Source organism: Homo sapiens, chromosome 2 (assembly GCF_000001405.40).
Source record: "Homo sapiens chromosome 2, GRCh38.p14 Primary Assembly".
NCBI lineage: Eukaryota > Metazoa > Chordata > Mammalia > Primates > Hominidae > Homo > Homo sapiens.
This window is the reverse complement of record NC_000002.12, coordinates 166887281-166914218: the sequence shown is the minus strand read 5'-3', so window position 1 is coordinate 166914218 and position 26938 is coordinate 166887281. Positions and strand designations below refer to the sequence as shown.

At 37.3% G+C, this 26938-nt stretch overlaps 1 protein-coding gene across 3 annotated transcripts in view; it reads right to left on the bottom strand.

The window, feature by feature from the left end:
* XIRP2 (xin actin binding repeat containing 2) overlaps window positions 1–25739 on the bottom strand; it is a 371274-nt gene extending 345535 nt beyond the window's left edge. For all 3 annotated transcript variants that reach the window (NM_001199143.2, NM_152381.6, NM_001079810.4), the window contains exons 1-2: window positions 25662–25739; window positions 10329–10754 (exon numbers count right to left, since the gene is read on the bottom strand). In NM_001199143.2, coding sequence (NP_001186072.1) covers window positions 10329–10736 — 408 coding nt within the window. In that variant the 5' untranslated portion in view covers window positions 10737–10754; window positions 25662–25739. The remainder of the gene's footprint in view (window positions 1–10328; window positions 10755–25661) is intronic.
* Between the last annotated feature and the right edge of the window lie 1199 nt (window positions 25740–26938).

Sequence of the window (26938 nt, the reverse complement as noted above, 5' to 3'; positions counted from 1 at the left end):
AGTTCCTAAGGGCTGCATCAATTTTCTGGGTCATGGCCCTGCATCATGTCAGCCTTTGCTTCTTTCATCATAACTCCTCCGACTCTCTCAATCTGACATCCTGTGTTCCTCTGATAAAGACTCAGTTTTCATCTGGGATAATTCATGAAAATCTTTGCATTTCAAGATTATTAATCACATTTGTAACGTCCCTTTTGACATGTTGGATAACATACTTGTATGCTCTGGGGAGTAGAATGTAAATATCTTTGGGAGACTTTTGTTATTCTGCCTATCAAAATAACTATCACCAGAGTAGTCACTTACTTGAATCTAAGTGAAGAATAAGTCATGAGTTTCATCCACAAATACTTGTCAACTTGGATCCTTCTACTGTTTATGGTTAATTCATGATACATTAAATGATCCTGATTTTTGCATGTATTTAGTTAAACTTACCTGTGGGAGAGTGTTTGCAAAATGGCTGCAATTATTCTTCTCCTAGTATCTATTTCCCTTTGCAAATGCAAATTTGCATTTCCTTCTGTCAAGAGGTGGAGTCTATGTCAGTACACTTTTAATCTGGCTTGCTTTGTGGCCACTTTGATCAATAGAACATGGAGAAGTAATGTGCAAATTCTGAATATAGCCCTCCACAGGCCTCATGTGTTCCTACTTTCTCTCTTAAAACTTCTATGACCTGGGGCGGTTCCAAGATGGCTGAATAGGAACAGCTCCAGTCTACAGCTCCCAGCGTGAGCGACACAGAAGATGGGTGATTTCTGCATTTCCAGCTGAGCAAATGGCACCCCAGGAGATTATATCCCATGCCTGGCTCAGAGGGTCCCACGCCCACGGAGCCTCACTCATTGCTAGCACCGCAGTCTGAGATTGATCTGCAAGGCAGCAGCGAGGCTGGGGGGGGGGGGTGCCCACCATTGCTGAGGCTTAAGTAGGTAAACAAAGTGGCCAGGAAGCTCGAACTGGGTGGAGCCCACCGCAGCTCAAGGAGGCCTGCCTGCCTCTGTAGACTCCACCTCTGGGGGGCAAAGCATAGCTGAACAAAAGGCAGCAGAAACTTCTGCAGACTTAAACATCCCTGTCTGACAGCTTTGAAGTGAGTAGTGGTTCTCCCAGCACGGAGTTTGAGATCTGAGAATGGATAGACTGCCTCCTCAAGTGGGTCCCTGACCCCTGAGTAGCCTGACTGGGAGGCATCCTCCAGTAGGGGCAGATTGACACCTCACACGGCCGAGTAACCCTCTGAGACGAAGCTTCCAGAGGAATGATCAGGCAGCAACATTTGCTGTTCAGCAATACTCACTGTTCTGCAGCCTCTGCTGCTGATACCCAGGGAAACGGTCTCGAGTGGACCTCCAGCAAACTCCAACAGACCTGCAGCTGAGAGTCCTGACTGTTAGAAGGAAAACTAACAAACAGAAAGGACATCCACACCAAATCCCCATCTGTATGTCACCATCATCAAAGACCAAATGTAGATAAAACCACAAAGATGGGGAAAAAACAGCAGAAAAGCTGAAAATTCTAAAACTCAGAGCACCTCTCCCCCTCCAAAGGAATGCAGCTCCTCGCCAGCAACAGAACAAAGCTGGATGGAGAATGAATTTGACGAGTTGAGAGAAGAAGGCTTCAGACGATCAAACTTCTCCAAGCTAGAGGAGGAAGTTCAAACCCATTGCAAAGAAGATAAAAACCTTGAAAAAAGATTAGACTAATGGCTAACTAGAATAACCAAAGTAGAGAAGTCATTAAATGACCTGATGGAGCTGAAAAACATGGCACGAGAACTATGTGACGAATGCACAAGCTTCAATAGCCGATTCGATCAACTAGAAGAAAGGGTATCAGTGATTGAAGAACAAATGAATGAAATGAAGCGAGAAGAGAAGTTTAGAGAAAAAAGAGTAAAAAGAAAGGAACAAAGCCTCCAAGAAATATGGGACTATGTGAAAAGACCAAATCTATGTCTGATTGGTGTACCTGAAAGTGACGGGGAAAATGGAACCAAGTTGGAAAACACTCTGCAGGATATTATCCAGGAGAACTTCCCCAACCTAGCAAGGCAGGCCAATATTCAAATTCAGGAAATACAGAGAATGCCACAAAGATACTCCTCGAGAAGAGCAACTCCAAGACACATAATTGTCAGATTCACCAAAGTCGAAATGAAGGAAAAAATGTTAAGGGCAGACAGAAAGAAAGGTCGGGTTACTCACAAAGTGAAGCCCATCAGACTAACAGTGGATCTCTCGGCAGAAACTCTACAAGCCAGAAGAGAGTGGAGGCCAAATCAACATTCTTAAAGAAAAGTATTTTCAACCCAGAATTTCATATCCAGCCAAACTAAGCTTCATAAGTGAAGGAGAAATAAAATACTTTACAGACAAGCAAATGCTGAGAGATTTTGTCACCACCAGGCCTGCCCTAAAAGAGCTCCTGAAGGAAGCACTAAACATGGAAAGGAACAACCAGTACCAGCGACAGCAAAAACATGACAAATTATTAAGACCATCAATACTAGGAAGAAACCGCATCAACTAATGAGCAAAATAACCAGCTAACATCATAATGACAGGATCAAATTCACACATAACAATATTAACCTTAAATTGAAATGGGCTAAATGCTCCAATTAAAAGACACAGACTGGAAAATTGGATGAAGAGTCAAGACCCATCAGGTTGCTGTATTGAGGAGACCCATCTCATGGGCAGAGACACACATAGGCTCAAAATAAAGGGATGAAGGAAGATCTACCAAGCAAATGGAAAACAAAAAAAGGCAGGGGTTGCAATCCTAGTCTCTGATAAAACAGACTTTAAACCAACAAAGCTCAAAAGAGACAAGGCCATTACGTAATGGTAAAGGGATCAATTCAACGAGAAGAGCTAACTACTCTAAATATATATGCACCCAATACAGGAGCACCCAGATTCATAAAGCAAGTCCTGAGTGACCTACAAAGAGACTTAGACTCCCACACAATAATAATGGGAGACTTTAAAACCCCACTGTCAACATTAGACAGATCAATGAGACAGAAAGTTAACAAAGATATCCAGGAATTGAACTCAGCTCTGTAACAAGCGGACCTAATAGACATCTACAGAACTCTCCACCCCAAATCAACAGAATATACATTTTTCTCAGCACCACATCACACTTATTCCAAAATTGACCACATAGTTGGAAGTAAAGCACTCCTCAGCAAATGTAAAAGAACAGAAATTATAACCACCTGTCTCTCAGACCACAGTGCAATCAAACTAGAGCTCAGGATTAAGAAACTCACTCAAAACCGCTCAACTACATGGAAACTGAACAACCCGCTCCTGAATGACTACTGGGTATATAACGAAATGAAGGCAGAAATAAAGATGTTCTTTGAAACCAATGAGAACAAAGACACAACATACCAGAATCTCTGGGACACATTCAAAGCAGTGTGTAGAGGGAAATTTACAGCACTAAATGCCTACAAGAGAAAGCAGGAAAAATCTAAAGTTGACACCCTAACATCACAATTGAAAGAACTAGAGAAGGAAGGGCAAACACATTCAAAAGCTAGCAGAAGGCAAGAAATAACTAGGATCAGAGCAGAACTGAAGGAAATAGAGACACAAAAAACCCTTCAAAAAATCAACGAATCCAGGAGCTGGTTTTTTGAAAGGATCGACAAAATTGATAGACCATCAGCAAGACTAATAAAGAAGAAAAGAGAGAAGAATCAAATAGATGCCATAAAAAATGATAAAGGGAATATCACCACCGATCCCACAGAAATACAAAATACCATCAGAGAATACTATAAACACCTCTATGCAAATAAACTAGAAAATCTAGAAGAAATAGATAAATTCCTTGACACATACACCCTCCCAAGACTAAACCAGGAAGAAGTTGAATCCCTGAATAGACTAATAACTGGCTGTGAAATTAAGGCAATAATTTATAGCCTACCAACCAAAAAAAGTCCAGGACCAGACTGATTCACAGCTGAATTCTACCAGAGGTACAAGGAGAAGCTGGTACCATTCCTTCTGAAACTATTCCAATCAATAGAAAAAGAGGGAATCCTCCCTAACTCATTTCATGAGGCCAGCATCATCGCGATACCAAAGTCTGACAGAGACACAACAACAAAAGAGAATTTTAGACCAATATCTCTGATGAACATTGATGCCTAAATCCTCAGTAAAATACTGGCAAACCGAATCCAGCAGCACATCAAAAAGCTTATCCACCATGATCAAGTGGGCTTCATCCCTGGGATGCAAGGCTGGTTCAACATACGCAAATCAGTAAATGTAATCCAGCATATAAACAGAACCAAAGATAAAAACCACATGATTATCTGAACAGATGCAGAAAAGGCCTTTGACAAAATTCAACAGCACTTCATGCTAAATCAATAAACTAGGTATTGATGGGATGTATCTCAAAATAATAAGAGCTATTTATGACAAACCCACAGCCAATATCATACTAAATGGGCAAAAACTGGAAGCATTCCCTTTGAAAACTGGCACAAGACAGGGATGCCCTCTCTCACCACTCCTATTCAACATAGTGTTGGAAGTTCTGGCTAGGGCAATCAGGCAAGAGAAAGAAATTAAGGGTATTCAATTAGGAAAAGAGGAAGTCAAATTATCCCTGTTTGCAGATGACCTGATTGTATATCTAGAAAACCCCACTGTCTCAGCCCAAAATCTCCTTAAGCTGATAAGCAACTTCAGCAAAGTCTCAGGATACAAAATCAATGTGCAAAAATCACAAGCATTCTTATACACCAATAACAGACAAACAGAGAGCCAAATCATGAGTGAACTCCCATTCACAATTGCTTCAAAGAGAATAAAATACTTAGGAATCCAACTTACAAGGGATGTGAAGGACCTCTTCAAGGAGAACTACAAATCACTGTTCAACGAAATAAAAGAGGTCAGAAACAAATGGAAGAACATTCCATGCTCGTGGATAGGAAGAATCAATATCATGAAAATCCCATACTGCCCAAGGTAATTTATAGATTCAATGCCATCCCCATCAAGCTACCAATGACTTTCTTCACAGAATTGGAAAAAACTACTTTAAACTTCATATGGAACCAAAAAAGGGCCCACATTGCCAAGACAATCCTAAGCCAAAAGAACAAAGCTGGAGGCATCACGCTACCTGACTTCAAACTATACTACAAGACTATAGTAACCAAAACAGCATGGTACTGGTACCAAAACAGAGATATAGACCAATGGAACAGAACAGAGCCCTCAGAAATAATAGCACACATCTACAACCATCTGATCTTTGACAAACCTGACAAAAACAAGAAATGGGGAAAGGATTCCCTATTTAATAAATGGTGCTAGGAAAACTAGCCAGTCATATGTAGAAATCTGAAACTGGATCCCTTCCCTACACCTTATATGAAAAATTAATTCAAGATGGATTAAAGAGTTAAATGTCAGACCTAAAGCCATAAAAACCCTAGAAGAAAACCTAGGCTATACCATTCAGGACATAGGCATGGGCAAGGACTTCATGTCTAAAACACCAAAAGCAGTGGCAACAAAAGCCAAAATTGACAAATGGGATCTAATTAAACTAAAGAGCTTCTGCACAGCAAAAGAAACTACCATCAGAGTGAACAGGCAACCTACAGAATGGGAGAAAATTTTTGCAATCTACTCATCTGACAAAGGGCTAATATCCAGAATCTACAAAGAACTCAAACAAACTTACAAGAAAAAAACAAACAACCCCATCAAAAAGTGGGCGAAGGATATGAACAGGCACTTCTCAAAAGAAGACATTTATGCAGCCAACACACACATGAAAAAATGCTCATCATCACTGGCCATCAGAGAAATGCAAATCAAAACCACAATGAGATACCATCTCACACCAGTTAGAATGGTGATCATTAAAATGTCAGGAAACAACAGGTGCCGGAGAGGACATAGAGAAATAGGAACACTTTTACACTGTTGGTGGGACTGTAAACTAGTTCAACAACTGTGGAAGACAGTATGGCAATTCCTCAAGGATCTAGAAGTAGACATACCATTTAACCCAGCCATCCCATTATTGGGTATACACCCAAAGGATTATAAATCATGCTGCTATAAAGACATATGCACACATATGTTTACTGCGGCACTATTCACAATAGCAAAGACTTGGAACCAATGCAAATGTCCATCAATGATACACTGGATTAACTAAATGTGGCACATATACACCATGGAATACTATGCAGCCATAAAAAAGGATGAGTTCATGTCCTTTGTAGGGACACAGATGAAGCTGGAAACCATCATTCTCAGCAAACTAACGCAAAGACAAAAAACCAAACACTGCATGTTCTCACTCATAGGTGGGAATTGAACAATGAGAACACTTGGACACAGGAAGGGGAACATCACACACTGGGGCCTGTCATGGGGTGGGGGGAGGGGGGGAGGGATAGCCTTAGGAGATATACCTAATGTAAATGACGAGTTAATGAGTGCAGCACACCAACACGGCACATGTATACATATGTAACAAACCTGCACGTTGTGCACATGTACCCTAGAACTTAGAGTATTAAAAAAAAAAAAAAAACTTCTATGACCTGTCCATACATCTGGGTAACCTACCTGAGGAGGAGAGATGCAGAGTTGAGTTGTCCCAGCTCTGTTGTCATCCTAGAATAGCCAGATTCCCGCTGACTTTGCAGCTGACCATAGACACATGAGTGACATCAGACAAGATCAGATGAACTGCCAAGCTCATCAGAGACTTCTAAACAATTGTAAAGCCACTAATGTTCTAACCCCACTATTTTTGGGGTGGTTTGTTACACAGCAAATGCTATTGACAAATTACATAATAACAAGGTATTTCTTAGTTTTACAAATGGATGTGACATTCTCTCAAAGACCTGTAATTTTGCAACAAATTTTTGTAAATTCTTAAAAACTCTTAAAATTATGTTCTATGTCATTTATTTGAGAGGATGCTTACACGAATTTGTATCTTTGGATTATAGTCTGCCTCATAAGCATGAAAATATTCAGTTTAAATCTTCATTCTAAGTTGTTTTAACATGGTGTTTTAGAAATGACAATAGGTTGTGTTCATTTTGGAAAATTATAAAATGAAAAAATTATTTTAAGAATTTCTCACTGATTTTCTATTGTAATTATGTTAGAATAAATTGTTTTAACAAAGACTCTGAAATAGTGACTGTTTTAGGTATTGATATCTCTTTTTAATGACCTTGCACACTTATAGAAAATAATGTTTGTTTGCTTATTGATGGAGTCTCACTCTGTCACCCAGGATGGAATGCAGTGGTGCAATCATAGCAACCCCTTGCTCATGGGATCAAGGGATCCTCCTGACTCAGACTCCCAAGCCAGCTAGTTTTTAAATATTTGTAGAGACAGGGTTTTGCTATGGGTTGCCTGGGCTGTTCTGGAACCCCTGGCAACAAGTGATTCTCCTGCCTCAGGTTTCCCAAAGTGCTGGGAAAACAGGTGTGAGCCACTGTGCCTGGCCTTTTGAGAAAAACATTAAGAGTCTGTAGATCCCTTTTTCTAGTAATAAATGTTTGTCTGACCAAACTCTCCTTAAACAGACACATTATAATGAATATGTACATTTCCCCTTTGTTTGCTGAAAAATATTTAGATTAAAAACTGTGTACATATACATATACACATACATTATAATGTCTATTGTAATGTACATCTACTTACAAGTAAATATACATACACATACACATATATTATATAAAAATACATTAAAATGTATAGTTATATATGCATGTATGTATACATAATGTATGTGTATATGTGTATGTTTATGTATGTCTATTTACTTGTAAATAGATGTACATATACACGATATTCCATACCTTTAAAAATTCTACAAGCTCTCAATTTACTGCAATTATTTTACAAATTTTATAAACCAAGTGCCTACTACTGAAGGGTTTCCTTCCATAGCAACATTAAAATGTAGTTTATTGTTCCTTATGGTTGAGATGATTTACTAGTTACAAAAGATTTTCCTTATTTGAAATTATTTTCTGTCCTTGCTTTAAGTTTAATAAATATTGAATACCTTTTTCCACATCCCCAATATCTCAGTAGTCTCAAAAAACATAAATGTCAGAGTTATAGAGTAGCCAGAATTTTTTAGATGATTTATGCAAATAAATATTATATCATGACTTTATAATGAAGCACTAAATAATATAAAGTAGTCACATGAGAAAGAAAAAAGCATCTATAAAAACTAATAATTAAGTTGTATGTAATCAATATGCTATGGGGTGAAATATATAATTTTAAATTTGGTTGAACTAGAATTCTTTTTACATGCCTAATAATATAACAAAATACTTCACTTGGAGAAAACAAGTTAATTCCTCATTGAGCTCTCTTTGTTCTTTTTCTCCTCGTCCCCTTTGTTGTAGAATTTATATAGAAAATAAGTTTGCAAACATTCCTAACACTTTTTTTGTGAACTGATTCTAAAAACTATGTGTCTTCTATGGATAAGAAATTTTTAAATCCATCAACCTTGTTTCATACATTTATGGAAATACCATATTATGACATAGAACCTTAGGATATTTAAAACAGTATGTTACATATACTAAACTAATCTCATTTTTACAAGGCAAATGGTGGTTTTAATATATCTGGTTCTTTTCATAATTATTTTTATAGTTACTAGATGGCAAACCACCTATCATGCTGAATATTAGTAATCTCACATTTAAATCAGAAACTCATTAATGTGTTATTATCTTACTGTTGTATATAAGCAGTTGCATCTCATCCAGATGAGAGTAGGTTACATTACATCATTTATATAGACGACTTTTTCTACCTTGGTCATTTCTTTTGTCAGTTATCTTGGGTAAATATTCAAAATTATTACAGTAAAGTCAAGAGGGATTGAATGGAAATTATTTTCTGTGGCTTTACTTTTCTTAATTTACAAAGATAAAAAATAAATGACATTGTAACTATCTTTGTTGTGTACCCCAATCCCTAAACATTCATCTAAAAGATATAAAAGTATAAACAAAAATGATTGCACCTGTGAAATAGAAAAAGAAAATCTTCAAATCAGGGATCAGCAAATGGTTGCATGTTTTAAGAGATTCTGTAGTCTCTACATAACCTCATAAATATAACTTCATATCTCTTATTATCATTAAACAAATTAGAGTTACTTGATTTTCAAGAAGGATGGCTTACTACATATTTCCCAATAAGACAACTGGAAGCAAGAATTAGTAAAATAATTGATTTTCAAAAATATTCTATTTCTGTGATGGCTTCTATGAAGGCTAATTATCCATTAACAAGAATACGACTGTGTACCTTTCTGATAAAACTGTCATTAGGTGAAAACCAAATAAAACAAAAAAACAATCAAACAAACAAAAAAGCGTGGACTTTGCTTTCTAAAGGAAAACCTGAGATCATGTATTAATTCTTTGCAAAATTCAACTATAATTTCTATTATGTACAGGCCCTAATGAGTGAAATAAATTCAAGTAATTCCAGTTGAAATAGTAATTGCTTTTAATTACCGCAAAAGTATAAATGTGGTCTTAGTTAATAATGTTGCTAATCCTGTTTCCTAAATTTGGCTAAATGCCCTCTTTAGCTAATAGACATATTTTATATGTGACATTATAGTACACCATAATCACTGAGGAATGATCATCACCTACCACAAAATATTCCAGACTCTACCCTTAGTGTTTAAAATGTTACCTATAATCTTCATAAGATCCATGTAAAGTAGCAGATTAAGACATTTGTATTTCTAAGGTTAAGTGTCATTCAGCTAGAGAAGTTAATGGCAGGCTTTAGGATTAAAACCTGGATCACTGTGGTTCCAAAGCCTTCATTTATTCCATGTCAGCATCATTACTGATAAATCCTCATGGAGCTTTGGCTAAAAGCAACACCATTTGTTAAATGTTTGAGGCACAAAGAGTGGTTAGAAATTGTTCCTGCCTCTAAGGAATTTACAACGTAGTTGTAGAAATAAGGCACATACATACAGAAACATCAACATAAGAGGGCATATCAATATTGTTTTTATGGAAGAAAAAGGAAGTCAAGTCCACATTGAAGCAGACCTTAGAGAAAATTAATAGGAGAGGATGTCACATTTCACACTGCATTACACATCGGCTTCAGGACATCTGTCTAGAATACTGGCGGGGGGAAAGATTACATGCTTAGTAATAAATGGTAGGCTAGGCAAGGAAGTCATATGTAAACATAGACTCTCAATCAATGGCTCCTTACCTTTCCACCGTACTCAGCTGGTTTGTTTCCACTCTTAGGAGCCTCAAACACACTCCTCAGCTCATCAAGGGCAATGGAAAAGCGTTCAATCCTGCGCCGACTGCTCAGGGAATCCTCCTTCAGCACTTCTGGCCGACCATATTCCCTGGTGTTGTTACTCTTGTCCACAGAATCCTTCTCTTCCGGCTTCGAACTCCACATCTCTTCCCCTGTACTGTAGGGCAGACTTGTGGGATCCAAAGATTGAGGTGCTGATACTACCTCTCCTTCAGGCGCAAGCAATTTGCTTTCCTGAGGCTGGAAAATTGTACAATGGCTGTCCCTGGGATGACACTCACTTCTCTGATAATCACAAGATTCCCATTTCTGCCTCAGGAGGTTGAGGGAGCCCTTCTGCATTGGGAACATGGATGGGTCCAGGTTGTCCTGCAATATCAAGAATCCTTTTATCAGTGATACACTCAGGAGTCTGAGTCATTTTCAGACTCAAAATACTCTAGGAGCACCAGCTCTTGGGGTTTGGGTCTTAGTAAAGAAATCCAGCTTTCCTATACAATTCCACACAATTTCTGGCTCTTCACTTCACCCCACAACGTTATGTAAGTTAAATTAGAATTACACAGATTATGGAGAGGTGTGGTTTGTATAGCCATGGCAGTTTGAATATAAAGAAACAAAAGTGAAGAACACACAATTTTCTTCCATTTTCCTTTTATCGAAAATCAGCCAACAGTTATTTAAAATATAAAATTTGAACAGTGTTACTTCATTGTTTAGTATATTCTAAGAAAAGGGCAACTTAAAAAGTCTAACAAGAAAGCAAAATGGTTCATTTCCTGCCTGTAACAGTTCAAAATTTCCTTTGGAATTATTGGTTTCTGTTAAAGTCTTACTTCAGAAGTAGTAGACTAATAGCTAATAGTTATTAAGTTTTTGTTGTCAGGCAAAACACTTTGATAATGACTTTACATGTATACCTCATTTTAATCTTAACATTATCACAAAGAGTTAGTTGCTACTATTATTACTATTTTGCAGGTAAGAAAATTAAATAGTAATTTGCCCAGGATTCTGAGTGACAAAGCCTGGATTTGAAATACATCTGTGGAACTCCAGGATCTGCCCTCTTAACCAGTGGAGTTTATCTTTTGTACTTTGAGTTTTCAATTCTCATCTCATTGTGAGACTGACTGGAATTTCACCTTGTTTTAGAGAGTTTTGTGGTACGATAAGGAAGAAAAAAAATGGCAAAGTGTACTCTTACCAGAAACACAAACACACACACACACACACAAATCATGGGCAGCAAGAATTATATGCTAGCACTAATTTTTGCCACAGAAATAGCTACTTCCTGTTCTAACCCAAAATAAATTTTGTTTTTGAAGGATCAGGCATTTTCCTGGAAAAGTATCAGCACAGTGGGTCTGGTAAACAATACATCAGATGAAGGCTTAGAAAGTGTCTCAGAAGGTCACCTAACACAATAGCTCCAAATTTCTTTGACTACCAGCCACATTATGAATAATATCTTATGCACGGGGACTCAATGCACACATTAGATTAATAAATGTATATATACAAGAAACAAACTTTGTGTTCATTAAACAATAGTTTCCCTAATTATGTGAACTGCCTGGTGATATTTTCTACTCCGAACTCCTTCACTTTTAAAGATAATGTGTGCTGCCCACTAAATTGATGTAATGATGTACTAATGTTTCATGGACTGCTGGATAGCTCCATACTTACAGCAGAAGTTCAGTCCCAGGTTGGGTTTTACTAACCGTGTGACCTTGAAAAATCTTCACTGGTAAAATATACATCATGGCTTTATTTTGAGAAATAAATTTGATGATGCGTATAAAACTTCTAGTGTGTATTCAACACCCCAATAACTGTTAAATCCACTCCCAGCTCTATCTCTGGCTAAAACATCATTTCAATCACTCAAATATTGATACTATACCTCAGCCTCCTAGATGCGAGTGCTTGGAAGACGAAAGGTGGGTATTTTAAGACACAAAGCCATAGACTGAACAGTCAGGAAAATTTGGCCTTAATAATATTGCCAATTGGTAAGTTTGAATTAGTCACTTATTATAAAAAATCTCAATAAAACAGTAGATCAAAGAAGATCTGAATACCTGTTTGGAAAACTGATCAGCATATGTTGAGAATTTAAACAACATATGCTGTTAATGTCTGTGTCTCATATGTGGACGACAGAAAAGACCACATTAACATGGGAATGGTTGAGACGCTGTCACAGCTGGTAGGAGTGACCTCATGAGGTTATTTAATGAAAGAATTGTTTTGGAGCCAACCACACATAGTTGGAAAGGGAAAGCTGAGAGGCAGAAAAACTGGCAAGTTGAGGAGGAAAGCCATTTTCTCCTGTAGAAAAGGAAATCCTAATAATTGAAACTGATTTGGAACATCTGTTTCTGGATCAAGTTGGAATAGACATACTTCTTTCTCTCAATTTCTCCTACTAAATACAGCTAAAACCCCTAGAAATTGGACACATGAAATAAACATGAGGACTTTGAAAAGCAGAGAGAAGGCGAACTGCCTAGGAACCTTGGGACCTGAGGAACAATAAGGCGGTGAATTCCCAGGATTTCTTTTTGCTTCATATATAAAGAACTGGTGGTGGGAAGAAGCAGTAACTCAGAAAGTCCTAGAGGGGAAGAAAATGAAATTTCCCCAGGAAAACCTGCTTTCTCTAGCCAAATAAGCTGAAAAGTGTCAGCCTAGAAAGACAGGACACTTCTAGGCCATAAGTACCATACTCCAGGCAAACAACATGAAAAACCACAACTAAACCCTTACTCCCATCAGCAAAGGCTGAGTGGTGAGTGTAAGTTTCTGGCTTTTTGCCCTTTGCTGTCTCTCTCTCCAACTACTTTCATATTAGAGAAGACCAAGTGTGGGGCCAGGATTTTTGTTCCCACTTGATGGTGACGGGGCTCCTCTAGATGTCAGTGGAAGCCATGTGAAGATCCTGTACTTCTACCCCACCTAGCGGTATCAAGATCTTCTCCTCTTCCCTTTGTGTGTCAGAGGACAGAGCTGGTAACTAGAACTTTCTTCATCATCCACTGGTATTGAGGGCTTCCTTCTGGCAATGATGTCAGTGAAGGCTACAAGGAGAGCAATAAAGAGGGGCCTCCCAACTTTCCAGCCAGCAGGGGTGATGGCATTGGAGGAATAATGGGGAGCCCAGTATCCCACCTTCACAAAACAGTCATTGAACACCCTTCTTCAGGGAGTCAAAGGTCAGAAATACATAAGTAATATGCAGAGTTTTACAACATAAATGACAAAATGTCCAAGATACACTTGAAAATCATTCATATTAAGAGCCACCAAAGACCTAAACCAAAGCAGAAAACAATCAACAGACACCAACACTGACATGATACAGGTGTTGCAATTATCTCACAAGAATTTTTAAGTAGCCATTACAGAATTGCATTAGTGAAGAATCACAAACATGCTTAAAAAAAAGTGAAAAAGTGGAAAGCCTTAGCAAACAAATAGAAGACGCAAAGAAGAAACGAATTAAAATTCTAGAATTGAGGTAGAAATAACGAACATTTAAAAACTCATTGAATGGACTTAGCAAAATGAAAAGGGCAAAAGGAAAGGATCAGTGAATTTGAAGATACGATGATAGAAAGTATCAAATCTGAACAAAACATAGAATATAAAGTGAAAAAAGAATAGAAACTAAGAGACAAGTTGGACTATAAAAAAGATCTAAAATTCATGCCATTGGATTTCCAGAAAAAGAGAAAGACAGTGGGGCTTAAAAAATAGTCCAAAAAATTCATGGATAAATTTTTTCCAAATTTGGCAAAAGATAACCACCAACACACATCATAATCTAATTTCAGGAAACAAAATTAAAAAAAAAATCCTGGTAGTCGCTACTCCCAGTTTTATTCCAATTGTAGAAGGTGGGAAACAAAGACAATAGTACCAGCATTCACGTTGCGCGGTGGCATAGGACGGTAATGCACTGTGCTGCAAAATTCACCATTACCAATAAGCAACATACCTGTGTCAGTTTTCAATCTATTGCCTCTCAGTTCCAAAAAGCAGTAAGAAAGAAGTGACACCTTGCTTATACAGAAAGAACAATGTGAATGACAGCAAATTTCTCATCAGAAACCATGAAGACCAGAAGGCAAGAGCACAATATGTTTCAAGTGTTAAAAGAAACTAACTGCCAACTCCAAATTCTTTGTCTAACAAAATGATCTTTCAATAACGAAGAAAAAATAAACACATTCTCAGACAAAGGAAAACTAAGAATAATTTGTTGCTGGTAAACCTATACTAAAAAATTGGCTAGGGGGTATTCTTGAATGACAAAGGAAATGATGAAAGAAGGAATCTTGAAATATCAGGAAGGAAGAAAGAATAGAAAGAGGAAAATCATGAAGAAATAATAGTATACATTCTATTTTTCTCCTTTTGTATTTTCTAAATTATGATTGAAGGTTGAAGCTAGGGGTATAATGTCTGATATTCTCAATATGTGTGGAGAAGTTAACCAACACAATTATATTATAAACTAGGTAGGGAAAAGGGATAAAGGAGGTAAAGTTTCTATACTTCATTCAAACTGTAAAATGCTAATACCAATAGACTGTGATAAGCTTTATGTGTATAACATGTATTTAGGGGAACTAATAAAAATCCATCATACTTGAGATGTGTTACAAAACACTATAGCTAAATCAAAATGTGTTCTAAGAAATATTTAAGTAACTCATAGAAAGACATGAAAAATGAAAGAGAGAAACACACAACAGAGGGAACGGAGAAGACAAACTTAAATTTCAGACTTGAGCCCCATAATTTCAAATATTACATAAAATGTAAATGCCCAAGGCATAAAAATGAAAAGACAGAGATTGTGGGGTGGATTAAAAACATTATTCAGCTATCCATGTAAGGGTGCTATTCTAAGTGAAAAAAGCCAATCTCAAAAGGTCACATACGATAAAAGTACCGTTTCAATAACATTCTTGAAATGACAAAATTACAAATGTGCAGAACAGATTAGTGGTTCTCAGGGATTGTGAATGGATGGGACGTGTTGGGGTGGGCTTCACTATAAAGGGGTAACACAGGGAGATCTGTGTGGTAGTAGGAAACTTCTGTGTCTTGATTGCTGTGGTGGTTACAGGAATCTGCATAGGTGATAAGTGGCACAGTACTATTAGTGTATATGGCGTCGATTTCAATTTCCTGATTTTTATAATGTACTATAGTTATGTAAGATGGAATTACTGAAGGAAACTAGATAAATCATACAAAAGATCTCTCTGTACTATCTTTGCTATGTCCAATGAATCTATAATTATTTCAAAATAAAATGTTAAAAACTAAATGGATAAAAAAGTGATTAGGTAGTCACTACTCCAAGTTTTACTCCAATTGTAGGAGAAGGTGGGAAACAGACAGCAGTACCAGCATTCACACTGTGCAGTGGCATAGGATGGCAATGCATTCTGTTGCAAGATCCACTATTATGAATCAGCAACATACCTGTGTGAGTTTTTAATCTACGACCTCTCAGTTCCAATGCACCCTTCAACATATGTTCCTTGATAAATAGCTGAATCCCTTTAAGCACTTCTAATTTAATGTGAGCACAATGTTTAGCTTTCTCAGCAAACACTGGAGGGACATTGCAAGAGGAAGAGTCTTCCTGAAATTTCCTACCTGGGCTGGGTATCAGCAGTCATGAGCATGAGAACACTGTGGAGCCTGTTCAACTATAGCCATAGAATGATCTTATAGCCTGGGCCAGGAAATAACTTCTCTACAGCTCTCTTCTCATGGAAACAAACCATACAGCTGCCTGTGGTCTGGAGGGTCACATAGGGAGCAGTTGTTGATTCTATAAGCCCCTGAGTATCCTGCATGCCACCTGCATGTGTCCTAAGAGATAAACTCAGATCTGCTTCTCTCTCTGCAAGCCCCTGCATAGCCCATGTGCTTTGAAAGTCTATTGCCTAGAGAGGTGTTCCAACCCCCACTGCATGGCCTTGCCACCAGCTGCTGATTATCTGCTTGGCCTGCCTCTGAAAGGTGGTCTATTGCTAGTCTGGAAACTCTGGGTCAGCTCTAGCCTGGCTAAACCAAAAAGCTTCCTGCTCTCCCATGGGCTGAACCACACCTTCTCCATGAAAGTCTGGATCCTTTGCCAGTTTGTCATTCCTTGGTGGCTCTCCCTCAGCCTGAGGCTAGTGAATTGACTTTCTTTGTAGCTAATACCTATTCTTCTATCATAGTTGTTAATTCTTTATATTAACTTATTTTGTTTAACTTACGTGTGGCTTCTTTTTCCTGATTGGACCCCGACTGCTACAATACTTTTGCATAATGAGATGTCTGCTCTCTAATTCCAACAGTAGGTCACGGTGATATGTTTTCAGTATTGTCGATGGTGACGCATGCCACCATTCCCTCTATTACCAACAGTTTTGCCATGGGACATGAGATTACAGAAACCCTTCTTCCCATATTCCCTGATCAGGGAATGACAGCAACAGGGCAGTAGGCACACTTCCGTAGGGCCACTGAGTGCTAGTCTTGCAGAATGTTTTTCAGAAACAGTGCAGAAAGAATTACATGGAAAAATAAGTTTAAGAAGCCTAATAGATATCCCATTCTGGGAGAATTACAACATGCACACCCTTATTAAATGCTTTGAAAAGTCTTTCAGAAAGAAAGAAGTACAAGGACAGTAGTGTGTTGCTTAATGTTCTGAGCAATGTATTGTTTGTCAATTTCATCATTGTGAGAAGATCACAGAGTGTACTTACACAAACCTAGAGGGTATAGCTTAAGGGTATAGCTTACTACACATCTAGCCAATATGGTATAGCCTTTGCTCCTAGGCTAACAGCTGTACAGCATGTTATTGTACTGAATGCTGCAGGCAGTATAACACAATAGTAAGTATTTGTGTATCTAAACATAGAAAAGGTACAGTAAAAATATAGTATAAAAGATAAAATGTATTATACCTGTATGGGGAACTTATCATTAATGGAGCTTGCAGGACTAGAAGTTGCTCTGGGTTAGTCAGTGAATAAATGTGAAGGCCTAGGAAATTACTGTACACTCCTGCTGTAGACTTTATAAACATTATATATACATAGGTGACATTAAATTTATAAAAGAGATTTTTCTTTCTTCAATAACAAATTAACCTTAACTTACTATAGCTTTGTTACTTTATAAACTTTTTAATTTTTAAAACTTTTTGACTCTTTCTTAATAACACTTAGCTTAAAATCCTAAACACATTGTACAACTGTAGAAAATTTTTTCTTTATATCTTTATTTTATAAACTTTTTCTTTTTTTTTTACTTTTTAAAAATTTTTATTAAAAACTAAGACATATACATTATTGGCCTAGGCCTATACAGGGTCAGGATCATCAATATCACTGTCTTTCACCTCCGATATCACTATCTTGTCCCACTGGAAGGTTTTCAGGGGCATGAACATGAAACGGAGCGGTCATCTCCACTGATAATAATGCCTTCTTCTGGAACACCCACTGAAGACCCTGTCTGAGGCTGTTTTGCAGTCAATCTTTTACATATATCTTTTATATTTTTAGAAAAAGTATGCTCTAAAATAACAATTATAAAAACATGGTATAGTAAATACTGGGCAATAGGGATGTTTTTCCTCCGTTATATTCTTAGGGGACCACCACCGTATATGCAGTCTGCCATTAACTGAAATGTTGTTATGTGGCATATAACTGTAGTTCAAAGTTGTCCTTAACTTATTTGTCCAGGGAACCTTTTAGCATAAATTGCTCATAACATCCACAGATGCAGTCTTCCATTAAAGACATTTTGATAAATGTAGAAATAAAGCAAAATCCACTAATTGTAAAAGGCAAGCCTCTGTTTTCTTCTTAGTATATCTATGTAGTAGTCATGACTTTGGCAAGTTTTTAAAAAGTATCTGTTAATCACTATTACATTTAACAAGTAATTTTTTGGTATTTGTATTCTATTAAAAATTAGCTGGCATCTCTTAAAGACCACATAACAAGCTGCAACATTTGTATATAAAATGAGAAGGCTTTCCCAGCATTCAGAGAATTGCATGCTAAGTCAGAATCTGGGTATGAATGAACAGAGGGTAACGCCTGTGTATGTTAAAATACAATTCCAAAACTCATTTAATTTTAAAAAGATTCAGCTGAAATGAATATCCAAAGGGACTACGTAGGTGGCAGGCAGTGACCCTGCTGCAAACGTTGCCAACAGGACATGGCATCCCCTTCTTTCTAATTGAGGAAAGCAAACTTTGATTTACATATAATTTACTTCTGTTCATGGATCCAGAGACCTGTTGTTGGGTATGGTGGGACCCACCTACCACCTTATTTATCCACCTGGGGGAGCAATCCTCAAAAACAACTTTAGATCAGGTGGTTGTCTTTGCTAAGTTAAGCACCAGTATGTGGAGTTATTGAGACTGAGATGTAGCAAGGTAGACTGAGGTAGGATGAAACAAAAAATTGCAAATTGCCATGGAAGCCACAGGATTAACCAATGACCTGAAATGAAGCATCAGGGCATAATACAACCAATGTGGACATTTTAATAAAAATGTTTTGCAGTGTCACATATGGCACGTAAAATGTTTTGCTTCTAATTAAAGTAGTAAACTCTGCATTTTTCCTTGTTAGGAGTTGGCTTGGGCAGTTCAGAGATTTTCAACCATGATTCCCCTCCTTCATCCTCTCTCCAGGATTTAATCACTGTGTCCTTTTAGTCTCTTGCATTTCTTATTTTCTCTCCTGCCACAGGACCTTTGCAAAGGCTGTCCCTCTGCGTAAGTACTCTTCTCTCTCCTGTTCTGCTGGTATCCGTTATTTATCCTTCTGTTCTCAGCATACGGCATGACTGCCTCAGGGAAGCATTCCTGACTTACCAAAGATGATATAGCTCACTATTTTAGCACCCTCAAAATATGTTCTTCTCTGTTCACATTGTCAAAACTACAATTACACATTTGTTTGTGTAGCTATTTTATTAATGTCTGTTCCCTAACTTGAAAATTCTATGTTGGCAAGGTGCATCCCAGTTTTTGTTCAGTAGTTTATCCTTCGCTTCTAACACATTGCCTGGCACAAAATTGGGGCTCAATTAACATTATTAGAATGAAAGGCACAATGCTGAAAAAAGTAGGTTTTCACTATAACCCATCATATGTATAAACATATTTTTTCTTCTCATACTAGAATTAATACTTGGAGCAATAGCTCCCCTGGGATTCACTCCAACTCAGTAGATATTAAGAGCAACTCAATTAGTGCATTTTTAATAGGTACCTGAGGTGATTTTAAGGAAGGTGGCCTGAAATCTATACTTTGAGAAACACTAATAAAGAGAATAATAGCTTACATGGACTCAAGAAAGGAAATCTGCCAAGATTTAGTAAATACATGGAGCTGACATTCACGTTAGGATTCCAAAGAGTTTATTTCACGTTCCTGCCAGGTGATCTGCTATCTTGTATAAAAGAGTATGAGGTCTTCAGAGAGAGGATTTGTAAGTAAGGGAAGGAAAGAAACCCTTGGTCAAAGCTAAGTTGTCCATGTATTAAAGACTGCGTGTTTACAAAAGTGTTCTAATATTTTGTGATCTCTGTCATTGTAAGAATTATCTCCGGCCTCTATTATTGTAACTTTGAGTTTATGTCTAATTATAATGATAATGTTAGGTTTGTGGCCCATTGCATTAAACAAAAAGAATGACCACAATTTTGCCTGTCAAGCATACCAATCCACTCAGAGAAAAATTATCTTTGACTAGGTCTTGGGGAGAAGAAAAACTACCAAATGCTTCCCTGTTCCACTGAAAATCCCTAAAGTTAATTTTAAACAAGCTTTGTAAATAGTCTCATATGGTTGATTTACTAAGATTTCTTGTAAGTCATAACTCTTGTTTCTTGTATTTGAGGACATGTTTTGGTACATTTCTCTACTAACAGCATTTCAAGTTTAAAGCATAGTTATGTATCAATTTGAAACACATGTTCAAATCTAAGAAATCTATGATTATTACAGAATGATAGTGAATGAAGAGTTTTAAGCATGGCAAGACTGGCAATGGCACTGACACTTTTGATCTCTATTTCTAAAAAAGAAAATGTGCCCAGAAATAATAATTTAATAGAAGAATATTCTTTAATATATGCAAATGTGCCTTGCAAAGTTTCAATAGTCATTATAGATAGTAAAAAAGGAAATGCTTCAAAGTGAGGGGGATGTTTTACTAAATGATGGTCTGGCCACACAATGAAATGATGTAGCCATGTGAAATGGTAAATATAAAGACAATGCAGAACCAATGAAATCAGTATATGATATAAAATTGGGTAAAGAGATACGCAGAAAGGAATGTATTGCATGACTTCAAAATATATGCATATGTTCAAGAACTGAAAGTATTTTTTAAAAATGCAAATAATTTTTTTGGTGTATTGGGATTGAGGCAGTTGGCTTTTCTACATTTTTGAAGAGAAAATAAATGCCATCTTTATCAGCATTGGTTTAAACTGTTTTCTTCCTTCCACAGAAGGAAAAAGCCTTTTAAAACAATTATGGATTTTTCTGGAATATTTTTAAATTTCCCACCAGTTACTCTAATATTTATATCATCAAATTCCAATATTCTCACTTTTCACTACCAGAGAATGACCACTGAAGGTAATTTAAACCCAAGAGTCAGTTTACTGCAGTCATCTCTGTTTTAAATTACAGCACACGCAAACCCTCTCTAGAATCAGCATGCGATCCCTCTCTTTTCCCTCTGGTGGTGTTGTGTGTGTGTGTGTGTGTGTGTGTGTATATACATATATATATATGTATATACACACACATAAATATACACATATACACATATATACATATATACACATAAATATACATATATACACATATATACATATATACACACATACATATATATATAAAACATATATTATAACATATCATAGAAGTTATATATATATATATATATCTTCTATGAAATGATCTCTGAGGCTGACTGCAAGTGATGTCATTTTTCATTGCTCCAAAATTGTAGCATTCTATGTCAAGTAACCCATCAAAGGTTATTTCAGAAAAGAACACAAACTTCAGCTCTGGGAACCTGAGAAGCCTCAACATATTTGCTGTGGGGACCTGGATGGAAGGCCTTTTACTGAAATTCACAGGAAGCCTCTCCTCAGATGCAGGCAGGTGAAGCTCTGCAGGAGGGTGTTTAACCTTGTTTTACTCTATGCAATAATTTTTAAAGTTGGCTTTGAAATTCTGAAAACACAGCAGGCTGCAAAGGGTCTGGATTGCATGCCAGAGCTGTTTCACAGAATAATTTCAGTCACAAAGCAATTGACTTTTTTCATGAAAGATCAACACATGTCTCTTTTCATTCCCATTGTTTCTGTGATTTCTACCTGCTCTGTTTCCCAACACCCACCATACTCCGGCCCAGTGTGCTTTGGAGATCACAGCATTTTCTGAGGCCCTTTAAACATGACTTTAAATATTTTTTTCAGGTATAATTCAACAAGTACAATACCAACTAGAATTCTAAAATATTTTTGTTAATCAGAATGAAGCCTGTGCCAATTTGAGAATAAAAAACATCAGAATGGAATAAAAAGGTATTGTTGGATAGAAATTTTTCTAGTGGGTTTCTCATCTTTGGAAACTACAACATGTGTCTGAAGGGGGAAAATATTTTGCAATATAATTCTAGCATCCTTCAAAATAGTAGTTAATGATCCCAATAAGATGACAGAACAGACGAAGATTGTGAGGCATATCAGCATCGGCAAGCTGAAGGTTCAAACTACAAAACAAAAGGTTTCCAAGAACCTGCCAAATTTATGTTGTCACTAAGCCAGATTCTCTGCCAAGGAAATCCTCAGTCTTGCAACTGTAGAAAGCAAGTTAAGGTTAGGTAAATATGTCAAACTAGCACCTTCTGACAAGGGTAAGAATCCCAAGGATTATGTTTATAATGCTAATATTAGTGTAATTTAACTTATTTTCATGCTTTGGTTACATTTTCTGTTACCAAGCTTTCAGAATTTTTGTTGTGATTAAGAAAGATTATCAGACAACAATTTTTTTTTCAGAGAAAAAAAATCAAAAGACAACAACTGAAAGTGTTTTTCCAAATAAAGCAAGTAATTGATCTTTTCTGGGAGGGAAATTTTAATTAGTTTTGGCAGATAGTTGCTCAATATCTATCTGATAAGAATGTGAAAGAAATTAGTTAAGAGATTCAAAGAAATGGCATTTTCAATATTAAGGAAAAAACTTAACTAAAGCTTTATTATTATATATTGTCAATTACATTAACTTCTCCAGCTATGCTAGGTTTATCAGAACAATTAATTTTTCTGCCAAAAATGTAGCTAACATAGTACATTACTTAATTTCCCACTAATAGGATGCATGCATAATTCATATATGTAAAAAAGAGATAGGAACAATGCATTTGTTTATTTTTCTTTCTTTTATCTCCACATTCACATTTATTAAGTGAACCAGCTAAGGCACCTTGCTAAGACAAGTTATTAGAAGAATTTATGAAGTTGTATATTTGCAATAAGCTTATCTTACCGCCATGTCTTTTTCTGTCAAATTTCTGTCCTGTGACTCAGCTACCACAGTCACGTATCCATTAAAGGAAAACACAAATTTAACAGTTCTTTAACTTACTGATCTCATCTAACTAATGAACATCAAGCATGATGGACATACGTCGCCAGATAGCAGCTACAAGACACCAAATCTCTCATAGCCAGCTCTGGGAGCTGCATTATTTAGTAAGTCATGGAAGAGAGAAGTGCACCCTCAACCATAACCCCTGTTTGTGCTAGGTACTCAGCTTACAAGTTTACTCGTTAAAGGCTGATTGAAGCAGCTTTTGTTTCCAAATTCTATAGAAAAATAAACTCATCCTTAGTAAAAGGACCCATCTCAGAGTCCCAGAAAACTGTCTGGAGGATATGGGTAATTAGTATTTAACAAAAGAAGAAATTTGTTAAATATTTCATGGATTATCCCAAGCAGGCTGCGTACCAGACAATACCTGTTATTTAGGACAAAGCTGATGATCTGTCATATCAGCTTCTGCTACACCCACATACAGAATACATCTGTAATAAAAGAAGCATGCAAAATTTGCTCTCATGAAATTTCAAATATGAATCTCAGTGTGAATAATAAAAATAAAAACAAACTTTTAGAGTTTACTATTGAGAGCTGTCAAAGAATTATAAAACATAAATCCAGACTTCAGGGATTTACAGTCTGTTCAGATGCTCTGGTTCTCACCTTTTCTGTGCACCAACATCATCTGAGATGTCCTTAGCACTGCAGATTCTTAAGGGCCCACTCGGGGAGTTTCAGCTAGTTTCAAGGTCTGGAATTTGAACTGGGAACTGGCCTTCTTAGAAAGCACCAAGAGGTGATTCTGATGCCCGAAGCCTATGAACCCACAGTTAAAAAATAAAACTTAGGGGCCAGGCACGGTGGCTCATGCCTGTAATCCCAGCAGTTTGGGAGGCTGAGGTGGGAGGATCATGAGGTCAGAAGATTGAGACCATCCTGGCTAACACGGTGAAACCCCATCTCTACTAAAAAACAAAAAAATAGCCAGCATGGTGGCACGTGCCTGTAATACCAGCTACTCAGGAGGCTGAGGCAGGAGAATCGCTTGAACCTGGGAGGTGGACGTTGCAGTGAGCCGAGATCACACCACTATGCTCCAGTCTGGGTGACAGAGCAAGACTCTGTCTCAAATAAAATAAAATAAAATAAAACTAAAAAGTAAATAAAACTTAGCTACATCAACAGAAATATTAATGAACTGGAGAAGACACAACACCATTCATTAATTCAATACCTGCTTGAGGATTGCTTGCTATGGAGAAGAATAACAAGGAGAAGAAGGTGGAGATGGGGCTTACCCCAAAAAGGGGAAGAAATCTAGACTTATGAGAGAATGAAAATGAAGAAAATGACTACCAGCAAAAGCACAAAGGCATGGAAGGACTCATCAACATCAAGAACCCCAAGCAGGTAGGATAGACAACCAGAAAGGTCAAACAAGTGGATCTGGACAGGCTAAAGGAGCTTTTAAGGAGAAAATGCACTAGCAGGAGAGACAGAGCAAGCCAAGGTGGGCCTTGCCTGGCTGGTGATCATCTGGAAACAGTGGGAGAAGGCTGCAAGGAAGAAGGAAGTGGAGAGGAAAGCAAAATATGGTGCCACATTGTTGGGAAAATGAACATGGTTGCTCCCCTTGAATAAATAAACGCCACCTGCAGGAGGAGAGGCCAGGGACCTGGGCCAGAACCTCTGCTGTGTCTCACCTACCCTGTGCCCTGGCTCCACTGCAGCAGCCCTTCAAGGCCAGAAGCCCCATGGCCTGGGACATCCTCTTCATCTTGGCACAGAAATTGTTTAGGGAGGTGTCTGGGGGCGAGTGGGGAGAGAGTGGAGGAGGGACAGCTGTCATCTCTGAGATAGAAAGGTGCAGGAAAGCATTTCATATGTAACAATTTGAATGTTTTTTGCTGTTTTTAGAATTCAGAACCCTTGTTGGAGTGCCTAAGAAGTGGGGTAAGAAGAGCTTCCATTTGTCTGCTAGATCACATGTTAGTGGGTGGTTGTGCCAGGAGGCAGCTGCTGAGGGGTTTGCAACAACCACCCTGGTCTGTGTGCCTGAATGCTTATTCAGAATGGGGCTGTCAGCTGCAGGCTCATGCCCTTGGGTCCCTGAGGGTCATGGCTTTGTCCCTGGCGAGTCCTCTCTGACCTGACTCAATGGAACGAAGGAAGAAAGGAGAATTGCCCAGATGCTTTCTTTGGGTGATGCTGTTTTTGTTAAATTTCTTCCCCAGAAGTCCCTGACTATCTTTCAGTGTCCAAAAATATAATATATAGCCAAACTTACGTGTTTTGAGTCTGAGAGATTAACTATTTTTTCTCTGGGCACATTGCTGCCCCAGATTAAATTGTTTCTTAGTTAGAAAAACAAATGAATAACTAGAGATTCTAGCAGCAGTGTCTGTCACTAAGCGCTAGCCTGAATTTGTTGATGATGCTGTGATTCTATGCTAATTTAATGTATATTACTTAAAAGAAATAGGGAGAGAGAGGCAAAATAGTGTCCTGTCAGAAACTATCAAAGAGAAGCATGTATGTGTAGAAAAAATTATGAAAGAAGTGGTTTTTCTTAGGAAAATCTTACCTTTTTTCTACATGTCCCAGTCCCTACCAGATGTTCCCTTTTGTCTGCCTAGAGACCTGCCAGATTTCTCCAAATAATCCTGACTTCCTGGATACACCCACATAGAAACAGGTCGGGTTCTAGAAGAATTTGTCTGCTCCATGTTCCATCAGAATCAGATTATCTCATTATTTTGGAACAAGTTAATCTGCTGCAGATGAATTAATGAATGCTGCTGAGTTAGCTATTATCATTTTTTTCCTACATATTCTTAAAGGTATGTTTTAACCCAAAGACCCATAGTGACCAATGGCTCACTCTATGGCTGAGCTACACTTTAATTATCACTGTGCGTCAGGTTCCATACATATAAAAATAAACCTAATATTTAATTCAAAGTCATTTGTGAGGGGTTGGGACACCTGAGAATTTTGGATAATGATCATGAACATAGAGTCCAGATTCAAACCAAATGGCTTCAAATTCCTACTCAAACACTAGTATATGACATTAGATGCATTATTTAATATATCCAAACATTAGTTTCCTCACTTGAAAATTGGGATGATAATAGTATGTTCTAACTATACTGTTGTGAGATGAACAAAATAAATGAAATCACGCTCATAAAGAACTTAGGATAGTGCTTGGTATGAAGCAAGTGATCAGCGGATGTCAGCTTTTATTAGCAGTATTTAAGTATAGTTATTTGCAACCAAAAAGTGCTTAGCGATATCAGTTATCATCTTCTACAAATTATAGGAGACCACAGCTTCTGAGATAATTTTATTTTATTTTACATATAGTAAGCTATATACTATTTCAAATAAGTAAAGTCTTTCTCTTCGCAGACTCTAATTGCAGAGTCTAATTTGATTCTTATTTGGTCATCTAATAGCTCTTTGTTCCAAACTGGGGTTTTTATATATAAGGGGTTCAGTGATATACTACTAAAGACAATGTTGATTTTTTTGCATAAAGGAATTCAATAGCAGAAATGCATTTTAATATAATAAATTAAATCTTACAACTTTAATCAATGAATTTTCATATATAAAAATGACCATAAATTATATAAATAACTGCAGTGCTTAGCCAGTATTCAAACTGTAGGTTTCAGAAATCTTGTTTGAAAGCTTAAAATATAGGGCAGTTATGATATGGTATTTGGAGACGATACAGGGTGTGATATAAAGGTTCGACTACAAGGCTAATGTTATAAACTGGTCACATTTTGAACTGCAAATTCTGGTGACTTAATTATTTTTCCAAGAGTTTGCCAAAGTCAATAAAGAACA